The 23,513-nt window shown below is 33.5% G+C and overlaps 1 protein-coding gene across 2 annotated transcripts in view, besides 1 other annotated feature; it reads right to left on the bottom strand.

The window, feature by feature from the left end:
- The window catches only part of TLL1 (tolloid like 1), a 231,221-nt gene that overhangs the window by 68,462 nt on the left and 139,246 nt on the right, over positions 1-23,513 (bottom strand). Inside the window, exons 8-10 of one of the 2 annotated variants that reach the window (NM_001204760.2) lie at positions 21,436-21,560; positions 10,565-10,680; positions 5,037-5,543 (exon numbers count right to left, since the gene is read on the bottom strand). In NM_001204760.2, the coding sequence (NP_001191689.1) occupies positions 5,523-5,543; positions 10,565-10,680; positions 21,436-21,560 (262 nt within the window). In that variant the 3' untranslated portion in view covers positions 5,037-5,522. Of the gene's footprint in view, positions 1-5,036; positions 5,544-10,564; positions 10,681-21,435; positions 21,561-23,513 lie in introns of those variants that run through there. The other variant, NM_012464.5, reaches the window with a different exon arrangement.
- Positions 21,245-21,539: a silencer, noted in NCBI's record as "tiled region #2915; K562 Repressive non-DNase unmatched - State 24:Quies". NCBI's record gives its function as "represses a minimal TATA promoter and a strong SV40 promoter by Sharpr-MPRA in K562 cells {active_cell/tissue: K562}" and the evidence as "EXISTENCE:reporter gene assay evidence [ECO:0000049][PMID:27701403]".

The raw sequence follows: 23,513 nt of genomic DNA, 5'->3' as shown, positions 1-23,513 counted from the left end.
CTATAGCCAGAAGAAGCCTGCACAAGTCTAGTAAACTTTCCAGAGTGGCGATATTTTTTTTGCCTCAGAAATAAGGCTGAGAGAGAGTAAATCAGGTATCAGTAAACTATAACCCATGGATCAAATTCTGCCTGAAGCCTGTTTCTGTAAAAGTTCTATCGGGACCATTCCTTTACCACATGTTGTTTATGTCTGTTTCAATGCTACAATGTTAGAAATCAGTATTTGTGACAAATACTGTACAGCCTGCAAAAACCAATATATTTACTCTATGTTCTTTCCAGAAATGTTTGCCAGTCTCTGGAATAACTGATCATTAAGCTTTTGTTCAGCTCTGAAATTATATCATGTTATAGGAAAAAAAAAATACAACTTTTTCTACATCTGGAAGCTATTCTTGATTGGGAGTCAGAAGACCTGGGTTCAAGTTCTAACTTCTCAGTTCGCTGGTTTACTTAAACATTCTGAGGTTGAATGAATCTTAACTGCTGTAAACGGGAGGTCACCATATCAGGCTTATCTCACCAGAATTAACTCGCAAGAGTTTAATTGAATGATGTGGAGAAAAATACTCAGGTAATCCCAAAGCACTATTAAGATTCTTATGTATTATTATTTTCATGGTATATATTCAGACATTCCTCACAATATAAACCCTGAAAAAATATATAAAATAAGGTATTACTCCATTTCCTTATTCCATCTATGCTCTGAAACATACAAACATCAGTTTGATGACAGGTGGAAACCAAGAGCTGAATTATTCTATTAAAATAACTTTTCTGCTTAAACCTATGTGATAACATCTGACTTTGAAATTTTGATGAATCATCACTCACTAGTCATCAGAACATTTTTTACACCTCTCGCTATGGTTTGAGTGTGTATGTCCCTCCAAAATTCATATGTTGGAAATTAAATTTCAAAGTGATAGTATTAAGAAGTGACCACTGGAAGCTGATTAAGCCGGGAGGGCTCTGCCCTTAGAAATGAGATTAGTGCCCTGATAAAAGGGCTTGAGGAAACAGGTTCATCATTTTATCCCTTTGTCCCTTCCAACCCTTCAGCCAAGTGAGAATGCAAGAAGAAGCAGAGAATGAGAACTAACCAGATACCTGAATCTACAGGCACCTTGACCTTGGGCTTCCCAGCTTCTACCTCTGAGAGTGAGAAATAAATTTCTATTGTCCACAAATTACTCAGTCTGAGGAGCTTTGTTATAGAGGCATTAATGGACTCAGACTTCTCTTTCCTAAATTCCCACTACACCCCTACATCTAGTTAATTGTCAAATCCTATAGGTGATATTCTATAATATCCCTAAAAATACTCCTCCACTTCTTTTTCCTTTTTCATGTCAATGCTGGCTATACTTCTTTTCTGAATATAATGTAATAGTTTCACAAGATGTGCTTTGGCTTTTAATTTTACTCTTCTCCATTTCATCCTACACTTTATGGCCATAGTAATCTCAATAGAGTTTGCTTCCCATCAAGGTTTTGGAATCAATGACTCTAGTCATAACCCAATTTTGCTGCCTCATCTTTCATTATCTCAAGCACATAAACTTCATCCCACTCATCCCTAACTGCTTGCTATTGTGCTCTGACAAAGTATTCCAATCTCAGCTCTATTCCCATTCCTTTACTTAAAGTGAACATAATTCTATGTGGACTCTACTTTCCCCTTCCTTGTTCCTTGAAATTCTTCATATCGCTCAAAATCTTTATTGAATGCTACCATCTCTTCAGTCATGCATGGATCTTCCAACAAGATCTGAGCTTTCCTAAAGTCCATGATAAATTGTATTTTCTTTTTTCAGTTATTTTTCAAAGTTTAACCATTATATTACTAGGTTATAAGTTTATAATAGCAATAATTTATTTCACACATCAAAAGATACATCTATTTTAATAGAATAATTTAATAGTAATTGCTAAATTTAAGCAATGTCTTTGGCAATATAAATACACTACTGCGAATTCACTCCATATGTGTAAATCATAGATGAGTGATTAAAAAGAAATATCTGCAAAAAATAGTCAATAGCTTCTAAATGGGTTATATAGGAAAATAGAAAATATTAAGTCCATTCAAGACATAAGCAATCTGCCCTTGTTCAAAGGTTAGTCAATTCTAAGGGATGCAAGAATCAATACCATGCGCTTCTATCAGCTCAACACAGCTACCCTCTTCGCTGCACATTTTGGATTGTTGCCAGCATGAACCATGCAACATCAAGGATAACCTTAGATTGAACAGAAATCCCTCTGTACTTTGAGAGTCTCAATCTAAGAAAGATATGCATGTGAACTGAAACCCTTATTTTTAAATTGTGGTATAATATGTGTGCACAATGTAAAAGTTACCATTTTAACCATACTTATGTATACAGTTCTGTGCATTAAGTACATTCACATCATTGTCCTACAATGACTGTATTTTTTAAAGACAATATTTTTCTCTTGCCCAAAATAACATATGCTTATTGCTGGTAATTTTTTAAAGGAACAAAGAAGACATAAAAACTATTTGCAAACTCAGCAGGTAGAAATAAGCATCATTTTCTTATATATTCTTCCATAAATTTGTCTCTAATGTACATAATTTAAATTACAGAACTTCTCATACCACTAACTTTTGATTTGCCTTAAATATTTCATAATATATTGTAAACATTTTCTCAAATCAGAGTTTTCTTTAAGTTTTCAAAATTTATTTTGTTTCCAACTTTCACTATTATAATAAACAGTTGCCTTTGCACACACTCAGATAATTGTTCTAGGATAAATATCTGGGCAAAAGCGCAGGTACATTTTGTAAAGTGTAATACAAATTACCCAATGTGCTTCTAAAAGGTTATTTTAATTTCTACTTTCAGGAGTTGCGTATCTTTATGATCACTTGATATTAACATTCAATTCTATCTTTACCAATATTACAGGTGAAATATGACAAATTATTGTTAGTTCAAATAGCATTTCTCTGATAAAGAATAAGATTAAAGAATTTCATATATTCATTGAATATCTACTTGCATTGATACTTCACTAAATTTTCTACTTTCTCAGGCATTTTCTGCTGTGGGGTGAATCTTTAGTTATCAGTTTATAACAGCTCTTTACATATGAATGACCCAATGGTCCCTCATCCTTATGTGTTATAATAGTCTCCGTTTTCATTTTTATTTGTGCTTTTTGTATTTTTATAAAAACAACTTTACGTGGATAATCTGAACAAGTTATTTTAAATTTTCTTATTTTCAACTCATGTATTCAACATAATCTTTTTCAGAAAGCAAATAAAGCATTGTTTTCTTTAGAAAACTATGCAATATGAAGTAGAACTTGTTTAATTTTTTCACATATCCTTTAAAATGATTTAAGTATTATTTACTGAGAAAATCCATTTTCCCAATTTATTTGAAAAATGATCCTTACAAGTATATGACAGAAGTCTTCTATGCCCTCAGGCATAATTCTGGTCTTTTTAGTTTGTCCATTGATACAGAAGACTTTTTGACATTGCCACAGAATTTGAATTACTGAGGCTTCATAATGTTTTTCTATCTTATAGTGCAACCCACTCCCCCATATTACCATTGTTTGTGAATTTGCCAACTATTTTATTTTTAAGATAAACTCTAGAAAAATTTGGTCTGGTACAAAACAAAAATCTATTGGAATTTAATTTGGAATTACTATACGTTAATTTGACAAGAACTGATAATTTGTAATACTACACTTTTACATTTCGGTTCATGACATGTTATTCTGCTTATTTTAGTCCCACAGTAAAGTTTCTAGTTTTCTAAAATATGTTATATTTTAATATATTTGTTTTTATTTGAATATCTCTAGTCTTGCTTAAATTTTGGTTGATTATTTTGATTTTAGAGAAAAGAAAAAACACATTCTCTATAACTAAAGAAAAATTTAATAATTAGCTCTGGCAAATGTCAGATGCCACATGTGTGACGTTAGATAAGTTACTCAATCCTTTCTCAACTTCAATTTCTTTGTAATATGAAGATAATTCTAGTACTAATGTCAGTAGGGTGCTGAGAAGATTAGAGAAGCTTGGCACAGCACCTAGTGTAGTGTAGGCACTCAAGAAATACTAGGTTTTTTCTATTTATTGTATTTTTAAAAAATTCCTTCTACTCCTATTTATTCAATTGTTTATCATTATACGTTGAATTCTAATTCATTCAGTATTTGTGGAAATTTTGAGACAGGTTTTTGCTAAATTTTGACCTATTACTTTTCAAATTAACATATTTTATAACATTGAAATAAACTCATATTATTGGAATCAAAAAAACTTAAAGCCGGGCATAGTGGCTCATGCCTGTAAGCCCAGAACTTTGGGAGGCTGAGGCAGGTAGATCACTTGAGCTCAAAAGTTCAAGACCAGCCTGGGCAACATGGTGAAACCCTGTCCCTACTAAAAATACAAAAATTAGCCACGTGAGGTGGTGCATGCCTGTAATTCCAGCTACTCAAGAGGCTGAGGCACAAGAATTGCTTGAACTGAGAAGTGAAAGTTGCAGTGAGCCGAGATCATGCCATTACACTCCAGTCTGGGCAACACAGCAAGGCTCCATGTCAAAAAAAAAAAAAAAAAAAAAAAGACCTTGCAATCGCCATAATTTATAAAATTTATAAATGATACATCTTGATTTAACTTATTTATATAACAGTCATGTGTTTATATTCATATAATAAGCCGTACATAGTTCTATTTTTTTGGATTGTATGAGGTGTGCCTTTCAGAATTTTACTTGTTTAAAAAATAAATAAATGGACTTCACATTGATTTATAATACGTTTAAGATACATTTTGTTACATGAGAGGTATCCAAGAATTTGGGAAAACTGCCTTCAGAAATCATCTTAAGCAGCTTCATTTTATGAGTAATTCTTTGTTCATTCATTTTACATGGGTATTAACTTATTAAATTTTTAGTGCTTGTTAAATCACTTTTGATAACTTTAATGTGCAAAATCGTACATTAAAAATGTTTGAAATGAAGGTATTTTTGCAAGCTTTTATTTAAAACAAAGTTAAATGTGCAGCCAACTATATCCAGTGAAACTATAGTTTTATAAATTCATGTAAAAAATCCACATTTTCAAACAGAAAAAAACAAAAACGCTAATTTAAAAAATAATCTATAATGTAAGCTATAGGCAGGACCAAAATAAGCCATAATAGAAGTCAGAAACATGAGCAGGAATGCTGAATAAAAACATTTAGTAAATCTTTAACAAATGGTGTTGAAGAAACTGGATATCCACATGTACAAGAATGGTTTCTATTAACACAATATTGATTAAAAACCTACATATAAGACTGTAAAACTATAGAACTCATAGAAGAAAACACAGGGTAAAAACTTCATGTCATTACATATGGCCATGATTTCTTGGCTATGACACCAAAAGCACAGGCAATAAAACTAAAAGTAGACAAGTGGTATGACATCAAACTTTATAATTTGTGTTCATCAGAAGACACAATCAACAGAGTGAAAATACAACCTGTGAAGGAGGAGAAAATATATGCAAATCATATCTCTAATCAGTGCTTAATAACCAGAATATATAAAAACTTCTACAGTTGAAAGACAAAATCAAATAATCTGATTTAAACATAGGCAAAAGACTTGAATAAATATTTCTACAAGGACGATATACAAATGGCTATTAAGCATACAAAAAGATGCCCAAGTTATCACTAGAAGATGTTCACTAGTCATCAGAAAAATTCAAATCAAAATCACAATGAGATATCACCTGACACCCAGTAGGATGGCTACTATCAAAACAACAGAAAATAACAAGTGTTGGTGAGGATGGACAGAAATTGGAACCCTTTTGCAGTCTTAGTGAGGACTGTGAAATAATGCAAATACTATGGAAAACAGTATAAAGGTTATTTAAAAAATTAAACATAGAACTACCATATGATCCAGCAACCTCACTTCTGGATAGATAATCAAAATACTTGAAAACAAGGTCTCTGAGAGATATTTGCAATCCCAGGTTCATATCAGCACTATTCACAATAGCCAAGAGGTAGAAGCAACCTAAATGTCTACCAATGAATGAAAGGATAAAGAAAATGTGTATTCATACAATGGAATATTATTCAGGCATAAAAAATAAATCATGTCACATGGATGAATCTTGAGGGCATTATGCTAAGTGAGATAGTCCAGTCACAAAGGGACAAATACTCTATGCTTCCAATCATATGAAGTTTCTCAAATTCATGGAAACAGAAAGTAGAATGATGATTGCCAGGCACAAAGGGATGGAAGGAAAAGGGATTTGTTGGGTTTAATGAGTATAGGGTTGCAGTTTTGCGAGATGAAAAAGTTCTGGAGATCTGTTTCACAACAAAGTGAATATACTTAACATACTGAACTGTACACCTAAAAATGGTTAAGATGGTAAATTTTATGCTATGTAGTTTTTACCACAATAATATTATAGTTTATTTTACCACAATAAATAACAAAAATCCATGGTAGCATTTGCACATGTAAAACTAATGTTAAGTGCAAAAGACAATAGTGTCTCATTTGCTTGATTAAAAAAAGGTATCAACAAATATGCAAAGCAATATCTTATAAAAAGCGAATAATCTTATATGTTTTAAGATCCTTTTTTGAATTGGGATAAGATCCTTTTTTGAATGGGAAGAGGCTAAAGATACAAATTAAATATAATTTGATTAAGAAAGAAAGCTGGTAGAGAGTACCAAATGATAGAGTATACATTTAAAACTTTCAAACCAGTAGAGAGAAAAATACGAAATGATAAAAAAACATAATTCAATGCATAAGAAGGCAAAGGGGGAGAACAAAAAAAGGGATGTATTAAAATGCAAATAAGAAATAAAAACACACCAATAGTCACAATAAATAGAACTGCAATGAGCACTCTAATTAAAGACAAAACCTGCCATCATGGGTTAAACGAAAAATAAACTGGACTGTATACTGTCTAAAACACACCAATAGTCACAATAAATAGAATTAAAATAAGCACTATAATTAAAGACAAAACCTGCCATCCACTGATTAAATAAAAATAAACTGAATTGGATACCTGAAACAAAAGGTTGGAAATTATTGAATGTCTAGATGTCTAGAACAGGACAAAGATATACCTGGCAAATATATTAATCAAAATATAAGTGTAGCTTTATTAATAATAGACGAAATAGAGTTTTAACCCAAACCATCTCTAGAAATAAAGAAATTCATTATACAGTGATAATAGTTTAATACATCAGGGGGATAAAATGTTGTAAACATGTGTATAAAATGATATAGCATAAACATATATAAAACAAAAATTAACAAGGCTATGAAGAGCAATTAACAAATCTACCATAGTGACAAATATTTGTAAATATCTGATAAACAGATAAAACAATAATATAGAGAATCTATGAGCATCACAATTAAGATGATGCACCCAACCATTGCACAAAACATATTTTTAAAGCAAAGATTAGTCTTATGAATACTAGTCACTTCCAAGGTCATATCAGCCTGAAGCTATTGCAAAGACTGACACACAAAGATAGTGCTTTACCTAAAGGTGACTCAAGGAGAGATAAATAGGAAAAGGATGATTGAAGAAACAATGTTTGCAAAGAAGAAAAACACATTACTGAAAAAATATGTGGGTTAAGAAGAAATAATAACAATAGAAAAAAGTAGAATTGAAACATAACAAATCCTCTATTTTGAGCTGGTGGAATTCAGGTAAAGTATTTCTGAGGGGAAAATTACAGCCTTCAGTGTCTGCTTTGGAAAAGAAAAGATGCTTGAAATTAATGAGTTAAATTCCCAGCTCAAGAAGTAAGAAAAAAAACCCAGCAGAATGAAACCAAATATTAGGAGAAAGAAAATAAGAAAATAATAAAGACACGAGGATTATAATGAGTTAAAATTGTTCACTGGCTTCTTATAACACTCCAATTTATTTGCTAATCGTCATAAATAATATTAAGAAAAATAATAGATGATAGATTTTTTCTTCCTATTTACAACATTTTTGGAAATATAGTTTTATAGATAATCATACATACAAGAAAAATAAATTAGCTCAATGCTAATGGCGAGAGTTTTGGAATTGGACAGGAGAAATGTTTTTCCCAGATATTAACTTGCTGTTATGAAACAATTTAATTTGATTAACCTTGTTCCCAAACTTTTCATATTCTATGAGGTTTTCTTTTTAAAATCATGTATACTTTAAACTTGTTCTCAAAATTTGTATCTTTTAAAGTTCACTTTTCAGTGTTGTAGTAAGAATGACCTTCAGAATATATTTTCTGGCTCTTGTTAAAAGAACTTAAATAAAAATCGATCAACACCTATGATCATATTACAACACTTATAATTTTTAAATTATATCAAGAACTATGCATGCATTCATGTATTCCAAGTCAGTTGTAACTTTTTGCACCTAAAAATTATTTATGTTACATGAGTATTTCATTTAGAGTTTCCACTGCGAATATTACAAAATCCTGGACAACTCCATACCCATGATTATCTCCTAATACCATTCAGTTATCATCAAGAACATCAAACTTTTAAAAAAATTGCAATTGCATTCCCACCACGGCTAATGAGAGTACTTAAGTTCTTCCAGGTAAATAAGAATCAAAGACAAAGTACAAACTACCCATAGGTCGTTTTTCAACCCATTCCCCCTTTTCAGGCTCCCCCATCTAGTAGTCTTCAGTGTCTATTACTCCCATGTTTGTGTCTATGGGTGCTCAATGTTTAGCTCCCACTTATAAATGAGAACTTGTGGTATTTAAATTTCTGTCCCTGCATTGATTCACTTAGGATTATGGCCTTTTAGCTCCATCTATGTTGCTACAAGGACATGAGTTCATTCTTTTTTACGGCTGCATAATATTCCATGGTGTATGTGTACCACATTTTCTTTATCCCATCCACCATCGACGGGCATCTAGCTTGATTCCATGTTTTTGCTATTGTGAATACTTTTTAATTTCTTCTTGAATAAGAACTGAGTTGTAACATTTTATAGAAATTTGCCCATTTTACTCATTGTTTTTAAGTTATTGATATAATGTTCAAAAGATTCTTTTACTCTCATTTTGTTGTCTAAAGACTCTATGGTTCTAACAATCTTTTAAATTTTTTTCCCAAATGTTAGATAATTGTGCTTTCTCTATTATTCTTCATCTTTCTTGATCAGACATGTTTTCATCTATTTCCTTGGGGTTTGTTTTTGTCTATTTTTTTTTTTGAGACAGAGTTTCGCTCTTATCGTCCAGGCTGCAGTGCAACGGCGCCATCTCGGCTCGCCGCAACCTCCGCCTACTAGGTTCAAGCAATTATCCTGCCTCATCCTCTCGAGAAGCTGGGATTACAGGCACATGCCAACATGCCCAGCTAATTTTTGTATTTTTTGTAGAGATGGGGCTTCACCATGTTGGCCAGGCTGGTCTCAAACTCCTAATCTCAGGTGATCCACCCTCCTCAGCCTCCCAAAGTGTTGGGATTACAGGCGTGAGCCACCGCACCTGGCCTTGTTTTTGTTTTTGACAGAGCCTTGCTCTGTCACCCAGGCTGGAGTGCAGTGGTGGTATGGGATTTCAGCTCACTGCACTCTCCCTGTCCGGGTTCAAGTGATTCTCCTGCCTCAGCCCCCGGAATAGCTGGGATTACAGCTGTGTGCCACAGTGCCAGGCTAATTTTTGTATTTTTAGTAGAGACAGGGTTTCATCAATGTTGGCCAGTCTGGTCTCAAACTCCTGACCTCGAGTGATCCGCCCACCTTGGCCTCCCAAAGTGCTGGGATTACAGGCGTGAGCCACCTCGCCTGACCCATTTCCTTGTTGTTGTTGTTGTTGTTTTTAATCAATTCAAACTATCAACTTTGTTCATACTTCCAATCATATGTTATTTTCATGTTATTAATTTTATCTTTTACTATTTACTTTTAAAATATCTTTTATTTTATTGCTCTTTTTCTAACCTCTTCATATGGTCGTCTAGGCTCATTAGTTTGAGGTCTGAATTTCATATTTCCTACTGTAGTATTTAAGTCTGTGAATTTTCTTTCAACTAAGTACTACTCTATTTGCATTTTACAGGGTTGGTCTTCAATATTTTTCTGATATTATAGTTGAAAATAGTTTACAATTTTCATTATAATTTTTTCCTGGTTGAACTGGACATCTAGATATATATTTTTAAATCTTAAAATATATGGGGATTTTTCTAAGCGTCTTTCTGATACTGATTTTTACCACAATTTCATTTGTGTCTGAGAATATAATTTGTATTATTTCAACCCTCCTATTGCATCAAAAAGTTTAAAATTATATCTTTCAAAAAAATTCCTGGAGTTTAAGCAATTCCCATTATGAATTTTCTGAACTTTTTAGTCCATTTGAAAACTCAAACAAGAATAAAGGATAAAGCAAATTTATATTTGAAGGATGATGAACTTTTGTACTTATATAAGAATAAAATAGTGGGCTTGACGGTATAAACTACCTTCTCCCCTGGGGTCACAGAAACTCTCCAGATGCAGTGTGTGTAAGAAGGGTAGCCATTGGGAAATCCTGGAGAGGAAAGGTTGCCATTGGATTCTTGTAGAGTTTCTCCACATGCTGAAAGGAAAAAAATATATAAGATCATTGGTTAATTTATATAAAATACGTGAATATCATAAACAAAGCCATGAAGGGTTTTTTTGGTAGTAGACAAGACTAAATGTTTGTCTTTTATAGAAGACGTTTCCTTTCTAAGTAAATTTATTTTTATGTCCCTTACTGGAATTCCAGTATATTTAATGGCATCATTATGGTGAATCACCGAATAAGATTATAAGAGAAATAATGTGGCATTCATAAAATTCTTCCTCATGGAAACCTTTTTCATTCATTTCCAAGGAGCCAGTAGCCCCTCTAAAGCACACCCATGTTCAGATTCAGGCCAGTGATACCTGGACGATATGGCTCTGGGACCACGTGAAACATTTCACTAATATTTTTGATTTAAATTGAGGCTAAGCTTAAGTGAATATCATATCAAGTTTAAAAAATGTTACATAATAGCTAATGAGTAGTCAACAAAGGTAATATCAAAATGTGAAACAATAAACTTTTTTTTCAAAATAAGAAAAAATATATATGTATATAAACATCATGGAAGATTCAAATTTTCCAAAAAGATGTAAATATTTATTTACTTTTCTCGGTTGAGGTTAAGCAGAAATTGCTAAAAAAGCAATTTGTGTATTTTCCTCTTGCTAAGCTTGTCTAATTCCCTGGAACCAATTTTCAGTCATTTGAAATAGCAAATTATTAGCTGCATAGCATCAGGATCTGTGTTCACCCAGGGCTAGTTCTCAGCACCATTCTACAACGGGCTTCCCTGTTGCTCTTGCAAGAGATGCAATGTGCCATGAACCTAGGCTGTTTGAAGTATCTTTAACTTAAGAATAATTCCTCCACTGCAGCCAGTCCTCTTTCTAACCTTCACTCAACAATTTGAAAGAACAGTTCCTTCCCTCTGAAGGACACTGCAATCAAAACAGAGCTATTATCATATTACAAGGCCTTAGCTACCAGCAGGTGAACTCTCATCTCATCAACTCCTCAATAAATTATAAATGGATCTTCTAGCTTGTGTTAAAGAAAGAAAGATAGTGAATATGAAAACAAAGCATAGAGCTCTAAAAATAGATATGATATAAATGTTTATTCAGAAAAATAGGTATTATGTTTGTACAACACAATATATTTGAAGTAGGAGTAAACAATGTTTAGTCTGATGAACAGGCAGACAAAAGCAACTTTGGGACAACAAAGCTCAAGGTCAAGAATACATAAATCGGCACTGTTCTATAAATCATCCAGGGCACTTGACAAATGTAAGGTTAAAAGAAGTCTTAGAAAAATGAAAATGTACTCAGATTTTATTAATGCAAACAATGTGCTTCTAAGTAGGATCAGTTAAATGCTAAACAATGATTTGGGAGTTGAGTGTGTTTCTATAAAAAAAAAACCAAACCTATAATTAACAGCAGTTTAAAAATAAATTCTGTAATAATTTAAAACCCCACTAAGCCACAGAGAATGCCAGTACTGAATTTCCTCAAGTACAATTAAATAAATTAAATATACTTAATCCATAAATGTATGCATACAACACTGTTCTGATTAAGAAGATAAATACATGCTAAACAAAATACAACATACACTAAAAATTAATAAGTCCAGATAATATAGTGTCTGATTATAATGCAGGAAGTGGAAACATGTATATTCAAGTTGTGGTAATTACTTGTGAATTTTCTTCAATAAATGTGATTGTCCCAGGCTAGCTGACCCCTACTACATAAGATGTTTCAGAGTTTGTTGATTTATTCTCAGATATAAAAGTCAAACTTTATTATTTAAAAAACTAAAGGAAAATTAGCAAAACAAAAAAGTGGGCACTACTAAGTCCAAATGCTTACTTAGACTGTTCATTGACAGCAAGGTGAGTGGATGAGATGACATAAACTTTTTATTTTTCTTTGGGGAAAGAGTCTCAATCTGTCACCCAGGCTGGAGTGCAGTGGCTCAATCTCAACTCACTGCAACCTCCACCTCCCAGGTTCAAGTGATTCTCTTGCCTCAGTCTCACGAATAGCTGGGATTACAGGCATGCACCAACACTCCCAGCTAATTTTTGTATTTTTAGTAGAGATGGGGGTTTCACCATGTTGGACAGGCTGGTCTTGAACTCCTGACCTCAGGTGATCCACCTGCCTCGGCCTCCCAAAGTGCTGGGGTTACAGGCGTGAGCCACTGCTCCTGGCCAAGATGACATGTTTAAATGCTGTCATTGTCACTTATTAATTACATCATCGCATGCAAAGCTCAAAAGCTTTATCCCAGTTTTCTGTAAAATGGCTATCATGATAATATAAACTTCACAATGGTGTTTCTTGTGAGAGTAATAATGTGTGAGCAATACAACTACTTCTGCAATAATATTAGGGAAAGTAAAAGCATAAAGAATTATTAATATAAAGAAGCATACCAATGTTCTAATCACAAGAAATTTAAAACAAAACAACTGAGAAGTTAAATTTACAAAACCTTATATCATGTGATCCATCTTATTTTAAATTAGATAATCCATATGTATGTTCCTTCTAGCATACAAAATTGTGTTTGAATTGTGTAAACACCACTTAGATTGTGCATTGTTGAGGAATTATTATAATAAACTCTCATTCTTTTAATTACATAGTTACTTTTATAGCTGACTCCACATCCATCTGCAAATATTTTTGCTGTCTAATGTCTATAGCTCCCATCATATCTCAAAGGTTGAAAACTTCCCATTCTCCATATTCTGTAGGAACACATTTATAATTTTACTAAGAGTAATGATAACATAAGTAGACACACAATAATTTGTATTAGGTAAGTCTCCAAAGCAACAGATAAACTTGGCCGGGCACAGTGGGCTCATGCCTGTAATCTCAGCACTTTGGGAGGCCAAGGCGGGCTGAATAAAATAAAAACACCTGAGGTCAGGAGTTCCAGACCAGCCTGGCCAACAGGTGAAACCCCGTCTCTACTAAAAATACAAAAACTAGCCAGATGTGGTGGCGGCAGGCACTTTTAATCCCAGCTTCTTGGGAGGCTGAGGCAGGAATCGCTTGAACCCGGGAGGCAGAGATTGCAGTAAGCCCATATTGCATCACTGCACTCCAGCCTGGGTGACAGAGCAGTACTCCATCTCGAAAAAAAAAAAAGGAAAAGGAATCTTTAGGGCAAAGAAAGAAATAAAAAGATGTTGAATCAACTTAGTAGTTGGTAAATTTAAACTATTCATAAATCCATAGTTCCTTTCCATTTTAAAATATCATAAATACAATTTTGGTTTAAAATTATGTTTAAATAAGGAAATATTAAAAGAGATAAATTACTAGAACATTTTAAAATACATTTCCGTTATAACTGCATAGCCAAGCCCAAACCATCCTTTAAAACGAAGCACCAATATCAACTCCAGGAAGCTTTTCTCATTCAGTATGCAGCCCGGACAACAAGCAGCATAGCTGGAGAACAGATAGGATATAAAAATAAAGGCAAGAGGCCAACAGGAGTCCTGCAAGCTGTCCAGAAAAGAGAGGATGACACCTAGACAAGGGATTCACTACAGGAATGTGAGATACTAAGAGGGCAAAAATAGGCCAGGCGCGGTGGCTTACGCCTGTAATCCCAGCAGTTTGCGAGGCCGAGGCGGGTGGATCATGAGGTCAAGAGATCAAGACCATTCTGGCCAACATGGTGAAACCTCATGTCTACTAAAAATACAAAATTTAGCCGGGCATGGTGGCACACACCTGTAGTCCCAGCTACTTGGGAGGCTGAGGCAGGAGAATTGCTTGAACCCAGGAGGCGGAGGTTGCAGTGAGCCAAGATCACACCACTGCACTCCAGCCTGGTGACAGAGTGAGACTCTGTCTCAAAAAAAAAAAAAAAAAAAGGCAAAAATAATAGTAATAACCCAGGAACTCATTGAGTATCAGGAGGGAAGCAGAGGGAGGAAGGAGGCAACAATGTTCCCCACAGTTCTGGCTTGGGCTGCTGGATGGCCCTGGCAACCATTCACTAAATGAGGGAATATCTGCTGGGTAGATGAATAAACATATCCATGAATAAATTAAAAGAAATAGCTAAATGCATTTTTTTTTTGCATCTTGGCAATATAGTTTAGCCAAGAATCACATATACAAAAGCAGTTATATAAAATATATTCCATTCAGAATATAGGCGAATTCTCTCAAAATATAAGTAACTATGAATTAAGTAATTGAAAAGAAGCTTTAATTCATTTTAACGCTAAATTAAGTGAAGCAACTGTTTAAAACAATGCATTCAGACTCCATGTGTGTTGAAACTGGCCTGCCATTCCTACAGCCTCCACATAAATGTGCATCCATAGATATGTACACTCTATATAAGTATTCTTTGTTTATTAAAAGTAGAAACACTTGCATATTTGGGAACATAGGTTGTACATATGTTCCTGTGGGAACAGGCAACACTTTTACATAACAATAGAGATTCTAATCCTCAAAATCCCTTTATTTTTAGATTATCAATTTATGTTATACTTTTAAAAATTTCACTATGTTACTTGACATAATTAAGGAAGACTTACTGAGAGAATATTAGGGACAATAGTTGGTCTAAATACTAAACAGTTATAAGCAAAAGGTCATGGGATTATAGAAAAACTAAATTAAGATAAAATGCAGATTAAAACAAAAGAATAGTTAAATTAAGCATCTTAGTAATAAGAAGGGAAAGTAATCCTATGAGTAGGGTAAAGTGGAGGTCAACGCATTTAGAAAATGAGAATCATAGAAAAAGGGGACCCCAAAAGAGAGAAAATCTGAGAACAAATCAATCATTTAAGACGAGAGAAAATACGTTACAACTCGTATACCTTAGAAATGATCTCCTTCACAAATAAACTGCTAATTATTGGGTTAATGGGAAGATGAAGTGTTGTAATAATAACCATTCTCCTCCCTATGTGGACATCTGTTGTCACAGTATATGGAATACTGTTGTCACAGTACATGGAATAGAAAAGATTGTAAGACAGGCAAGTAGCATTAGCTACTAGTTGTCCTTTAAAATGCCTTATGCGTGAAAGGCTTGGAAACCATCATAAAGACAAAGGATTTGCCTTTTGGAAGCAGTGTCCAGAAACCTATTCAACCCCAATGTCGAGCAGCTCTACATTCCTTTCCCACCTGCTTGTGGCTACGTGATGTGGCAATGAATGAGGGTGTCTTATAGCAGTAGACTGCCAGAGCTCTAAGGGATCATATTCTTTCTTAACACAACAATGCATAAAAAGACTACTCTCCTGTCTCTAAAGCCAAGAGCAAGAAATGGCAATGAAAACAACTGCAAACTGAAGGAAACATATCCTCATACTATCCCCTTCCTAACCTTATTTCTGTATTGAGCTTTTTCATGATGAGTATGCACTGACTGTGTAATAACTAATTGTGGTTTCATATACCAACCTAATTTATATTTTTGGCATATATGAATAAATATAAGAATGTATTACAAGGTATTTATCAGCTATAAATTTCATAAACTGATAGTATGATTTTAAGGAAAATTAAAATGTATACATTTTAATGCCATCACTCTTCTGATACATTAAAAAATTTATATATCATTTAGTAAAGTTCAGCAGTATTTACAGTCTGCCTGTTAGAAACTTGCCCTCTTGGACCCAAGGCCCCACTTATCACAGACCATAAAACCCATAGTCTTGTATATCTAACTATATTCTTTATCAGGTCAGTATTTTTTTCAAGATTAACCTCTACAAAACAGTGCCATAAAATGCCCTAATAAAGCTGTGAGCAAAAACTGATGAGAAAAAAAAGCTGGCATTAAAAGTAGCCAAATATATTTTATTGGCTTCATTTGCCAGCATTTCTTTTATTTTTTAATTTCAACTTTTATTTTTAGATACAAAGAGTACATGTATAAGATAGTTACATAGGCATATTGCACCCAGGTAGTGAGCATAGAACCTAACTGGTAATTTTTCAATCCTTGTCGCCTCCCACCCTCTCCCCTCTAGTAGTCCACAGTGTCTATTGTTTCCATGTTTACGTTCATGTGTGCTCAATATTTAGCTCCCACTTATAAGTGAGAACATGCAGTATTTGGTTTTCTATGCCTGTGTTAGTTGATTTAGGATTATGGCCTCCAGCTCCATCCATGCGGCTGAAAAGGACATGATTTCATTATTTTTTATGACTGCCTAGTATTCCAGGTCTATAGGTACCACATTTTAAAAATCCAACCCACCATTGATGGACACCTAGATTGATTCCATGCCTTTGCTATTGGAAATAGTGCAGTGATGAACATGAGAATGCATGTGCCCTTCTGGCAGAACAATTTATTTTGGTTTGGATATATACACAGTAATGGGATTGCTGGGTTGAGTAGTAGTTCTGTTTTAAGTTCTTTGAGAAATCTTCAAATTGCTTTCCAATATGGCTGAAGTAATTTAAATTCCCATCAACAGTGTGTAAGTGTTCCCTTTACTCTACAGCCTCTGCAGCATCTGTCATTTTTCATCTTTTTAATAACAGCTATTCTGACTGGTGTGAGATGACATCTCATTGTAGTTTGGATTTGCATTTCTCTGATGTTTAGCAATGATGAGCATTTTTTCATATGTTTGTTGGCTGATTGTATCTCTTCTTTTGAGAAGTATCTGTTCATATCCTTTGCCCATTTTTTAAATGGGGTTATTTGTTTTGTTTGTTGATTGGTTTAAGTTCTTTATAGATTCTGGATTTTAGACCTTTGTCAGATGTGTAGTTTGTGGATATTCTCTCTCATTGTGTAGGTTGTCTGTTTGCTTTGTTGATAGTTTCTTTTGCAGTGTAGAAGCCCTTTAGTTTAATTAAGTCCCACTTGTCAATTTTTATTTTTGTTGAATCGTTTTTGAGGACTTAGTCATAAATTATTTCCCAAGGCCAATGTCCAGAATGGTGATCCCTATGTTTTATTTAAGGCTTCTTATAGTTTGAGGTCTCACATTTAAATCTTTAATTCATCTTGAGTTAATTTATGTATATGGTTATATACGGTGAAAGATAGAGTCCAGTTTCATTCTTCTGCACATGGTTAGCCAAGTATCCGAGTACCATTTGTTGAATAGGAAGTCCTTTCCCCATTGCTTGTTTTTGTCTGCCTTTCCACCAGGAATTTCTGACAAAAGAGTAAGAAAAAAACAAACTCCAAAGGAATACTCAGCTTTATAACCCCCTCCTCTCTGTATGAAAACCAAACACAATCCGAACTCAATTTATAAACTCTTACTCTCTTCTGGGTTGTTCACAGATGAGTCACCCTATTAAGACTCACATGTACAGTTATGAATCTTTAACTCTACTCCATTTATATACTTGCAGTTATTGGTAAACCTACTGCATCAGTGTAGCTTAATGTCATTTGGCTTGTGGTAAGTATTTTATGCCAATATCATTGTCCTTATCCTGATAAGTCATGAGTGCACTTCATTTAAGGAAAAGAAGAACCTTAAACATACAACTATATGTAGGGCTCAAAGCTAACTATTTCAGAAAGAGAAAGAAGTAAAAAGGGAGACAGATATATCCACATGCACAGAGTGGCTGAGAGGGGCAGAGAAAGAAACATAAAAAAAGAGAAAGAACAAGAGGAAGGGAGGGGGCTATTTGTTGAACATTTAAAATTCCAGCTCATACCAATCAAAATAGCTATTATTAAAAAAATGAAAAACAATAGACACCTGCAAGGCTGTAGAGAAAGAGAATGCTTACACACTGTTGTTAGGAATAAAAAGTAGTCCAGCCATTGAGGAAAGCAGTTTGGAGATTTCTCAAAGAACTTAAAACACAACAACAATTCAACCCTGCCATCTCATTACTAAGCATATATCCGAAGGAAAATAAATCGTACCACCGAAAAGACACATGCACTGGTATGTTCACCGCAGCACTGTACACAATAGCAAGGCCATGGAATCAACCTGGATGTCCATCACTGGTGGATTGAATAAAGAAAGTGTGATACATACATACCATGAAATACTACGCAGCTATAAAAGGAATGAAATCATGTTCTTTGTAGCCATGTGAATGGAGCTGGAGGCCATAATCCGAAGTGAATTAACTTAGGAACAGAAGACCAAATACCACATATTCTCACTTATAAGTGGGAGCTGAACATAGAGTATACTTGGACATAAAGACAGGAACAATAGACAGTATGGACTACTAGAGGGGAGGGAGTGGGAGGCGGCAAGGGTTGAAAACTACCTGTTGGGTTCTATGCTTAGAACCTGGGTGACAGGATCATTCATTCGCAGCCCAAACCTCAGCATCACACAACATTCCCACGTAACAAGCCTGCACATATAGCCACTGAGTCAAAGATAAAAGTTTAAAAAAAGGCCAAGATAGAAGAAAAAGTCATTCCCAAAGATTTGGGGAACTAAAATTTAACACTAAAAGATATATATACAGAGAGAAATAGATATCTATATATATGTATATTTATATATCTCTCTATATATCTGTATGTATATTTATATATCTCTTTTAGCTGTCCCTTACTCCCGGTACTTTATTAGCTGTAATACAGTAATTTGCTTTTCATACTGTTTCAGAAATACAAAATATCTTTTTCCCAGATCATAGTGCTTTCTTCAATGTGGTTTTATTGTATTAAATAAAATAATGTACACATTATTATTTCTATATTTCAGGTAAGAAAATGGCCCATTAATGTATTTTACACAATTGAAATCTAAAGTAGAAACTATACTTCTAATTATCTTCCTGTTTATAACTGAAATATCCAAGAATTGTAGGCTAAAAAATAAATTACAATATCATAAGGTTAGTTTTTTATTCTTCCTGACTTTCCTACAGTTCAGTGTGCATACAAACCTCCAGTGTGCTTCTCAAATGTAATGTATGTAGACGTACATTTAGAGATATAATCAAGAGAGTTTTATACACAAAGTGTTCACTTATTTAGTTGCTGTTAATCAAATAATTTTCACTTTTTAAAAGTTGAAAAGTATATGCCCAATGTTACTAGACATTAGTTAAGGATCACCCATATCTTTTTTCATAGCAGTATCATTCTCTTATAAATTCATTTTTTCCTATGGAAATTTGATTTTAAAAAATATACCACATATACATGTGTATCTTACATACATACATAAAACATTTTAAAGGGATTTACGTAAATATGAATGCAACTTCAGTAAACAGCATGAAGTAATAAATTAATGAATATTAAGTAGAAATGTCTTTTGGTACATGGAAAAATTAGGCAGACATATATTTATACACAAAAAATTTTTGAAAACTCACTTTCATTATTGAATCATTATGATGCAAAAAGTTTTACATACAGCTTTAAATTCCAAAAATATCAACTGGCCCTTTTAAAACTTAATAGTCCTAAGTTACAAGAAAACTAACAATTACAGTAAAATTGAAAAAAAAAAACATAATTTCTTACAATTTTCCTTAGCAAATCTAGTATTAAGGAATAGGAAATCCCTTCTCTCAGCAGGAATGTCAACAGAATCCACTGGGTTGAATCAATGAATTACGTACCATCACATACAGAATTATGAACTTCCTGGGAAGTTTCCAGGTATTTCCTGGGATTATTCAAACAACTCACTTTTTCTTGCTTGCACTTGAGTTTTATCTGTCCAACAGAAGGGTTCTATACCATATGTCAACGAGTACATATTAATTTTTTATGAATGAATTAGCTAGCCCTCTTCTATGGCCTAAAAGTTCCCTGGACTGACACCAGAAATCATAAAAATTTAATTAATATAAGAATTTCCCAATAACAATATATAAATAAACATAACCAATTATCTATGTAAAACTCCAATGATTAAGATATCCATCATTTCTCTGATTTTCTGCAAACATTATCAGATTTGCAGCCAATTAAAACTTTTATAGTTATTGTTTTATTGTATCTGCAACCTTAAGTATCTAGAACAATACTTCCAAAAGTGAATTCTACAAGTAAGTATTGGGTAAAAGGAGGTTTCCTTGGACAAATAATTTGGAAAAGACTGTGTTATGCAAAGTTAAACATGTTTCTTTGCTGTAGGATATTTCAAATATTGTGAGTATACTGGAGGTACATAGAATCTAGATTTCTAATGTGGAAAACAGAATCTTTTTCTTTCTTGGATGATTAAGGCATAGTGCTCCCTTAGAACATTAAGACGTTTCATGAATCTGCTTTTGAAACTTTATTTAGGGGCAAAACATAGAGTAGTTCACTTGCAACCGGTTAGAACATTTTTTTTTACAACAAAGTTATAAATTCCTACTGATAAAATTGTAATTTATATGCCATTAACCATGGTACTTGCAAAAAAATATCATCCAGGATCCAATTCTGAAGTTCAAATAAAGGATATTCTTTTTATGTCAGAAAGGAAACTTAGCATTTGACTATGAAATCATGCAACTATTTAATTAATGACTATCAAGCAACCATTCTATTTTGCTCTTTCACTCATTAAATTAAAAGAAATAAAATATACTATCCCTGTGTTTGAACTTTGATTTCAACAACTTGTTTTTATTTACAGCAATTAGGTGTTCCAGAGTTCCCTCCTGCCTCATTTTATGATTACTGACTTTGAACTGTACACGTCACTTGCCAACAGGGAGGGAGACAAACAAACAGTTGAGTAAATCATGGCTTATTCATCTGGAAGAGCACAATCAAGTACAGTCATGCTCTTGTGTTTGTGTAGTGCAATACCTGGACATCTATACAGCTTTCTTGCCTGTGCGATATCTCCTTTGCTTAGACGGGTTCGCTGACCAATTGCAGGACGTATGCCATTATCATCACGGGAGGGGAGAATGGTATCCAGAAACATCCCCCTGAAAAAAAGCAGAAGCAAACCACACCTAAGTCACCAAATGAAAACTCATGAATTCCTTACATTTATAAGGTATTTATTTCAAACTCAAGTCAATCAAAGGGGAACTACACCTTGTGTGCTTTAAGCAGTGTATCAGGCTTTCAAAACACTTTCATCAAAGTAGAAAAAAAAGCATGTTAAATGTGTATGCCTAGTATAAACTCAATGATGACATTCATTTGTTTCCTTGAAACATGTATGTTCTTAAAAATATGGAATACCTTATAATCCCCCACAAAGTACACCATGACATTTGTTTTGGTTTCCCAAGCAGATCTAAGAATTCCTTAGATTATCAGGTTGTGAAACAATGATTCCTCATAGAGGTCTATTTCCCCAATAGCAAACTACAGTAAATAATGTTGAAGTTACTAAAATTGTTAAGAGTAAAACAAAATATACATAGGTTAATTTTTCTGAATTAAACTACTAATTTAACCTAAGTATTCTTAGAAGTCCAAGTATTACAGCATATGTTAAAAAAAAGATAAAAAAAAACAAAGAATGCCAAAACTTAGGGCAGTTTAAAGCAATTTTTTCAATTTTTCTATGGTAAAACTAGTAAATAAGAAAACCTAATCAATGGCATAATAATGTTAAACTACAGATAGTGAGTTGTTTGGGACTCAAGATTGTGGTAAAAGATTCACTAATTTTTCCTAATATGCATGATCTAAAGTTCTGAATATAGTGCCCTAAAAATACTTTCTAATTTTTTAAATGTATGTCAAATATTTATAGCCCTAAAGAAGTGGGAGCTTAAAAGTTAAATGAACTGGGAGGCTATTCCAAGGGTTTGAGAAGTATGAGTTGTGTGTTTGTGGATTTACCAAAAACAAACAACAACAAAAAACCTTTCTATAAAAATATTTTAAATTAAGAAATAAAATTTTATAATATCTTTTAAATTGAGAAAATGATGCAGCACTTCCTTCCAAAACTTATAAATGAATTTAATGCATTTAAACTAACGCTTGCATTAAAAGAACAGCATTTTCAGCTCTACTTAGCCTCCATTAGGAAATAGTTCTAGGTCTGGATTTGTAGCAGTAAATAAAACAAACAGAAATTCCTTCCTTTATGATTCTAATATTCAAATATGAGGAAAGAGACATTAAACAAATGATTAATAATCCAGGTAGTAATAGGTACTATCGAGAAAAATAAAGGTGAGAAGATGGATATTGATTGTGCAGTGATGGGCTGCTTTTAAATAGAGTGATCAAAGTGAAACTCACTTGAAAATTGACATTTTAGTCACACATGAAGAAAGTGAAGATCAGAGAAATATGGGTAACGGGCAGTACAGTGTTTCCAGACAGAAAGAACAAGAAACACAACAGCTCAGAAATGAGAGGACCCCTAAAATGTCTGAGCACCAGCCAGATAATTTAACTTTTACTCTGAGGACAACTGTTAATCTATAGGAAAATGGTAAGCAGAGGAGTAATATGATCTATGAGCAATTTTATTACTAACTGCCCTAGCTCCAAGGTAAGGGAAAGGGCACTGATCTATAGATAACACTAACTCAAATAGGGAGACTGGAACTCTTTACTACAAGATCTAAACATCTACAGAACTCCATATGTACATTGTCTGAAAAGACAGGAGAGAAGTAGAGCTAGTGATTTACGGGAATTGACCATCAAAAGTGAGATCTGTGCATAGTTCATAAGAAACCACTCCAGGCAGGCCAGTGTAATTGAAAAAGAAATGAGTTACAAGGTAGCATTGAGAAAGGCCTTGTAACTTGAGGCATGAGTCAACAGATACATTAATTACATAAACCCAAATTAATGGAGTATTAAATTTCTGTAGTACTTCAGTACTAACAAAGCATTTACCATTTTCTTTTTCTATTTCTAAAAACAAATTTGTGGCCTCTGGGGTTCGATTTTTTCCTAACTTC

This window comes from Homo sapiens, chromosome 4, assembly GCF_000001405.40.
Source record: "Homo sapiens chromosome 4, GRCh38.p14 Primary Assembly".
NCBI lineage: Eukaryota > Metazoa > Chordata > Mammalia > Primates > Hominidae > Homo > Homo sapiens.
The sequence above is the reverse complement of the archived record's forward strand: the minus strand, read 5'-3'. Positions and strand labels throughout refer to the sequence as shown.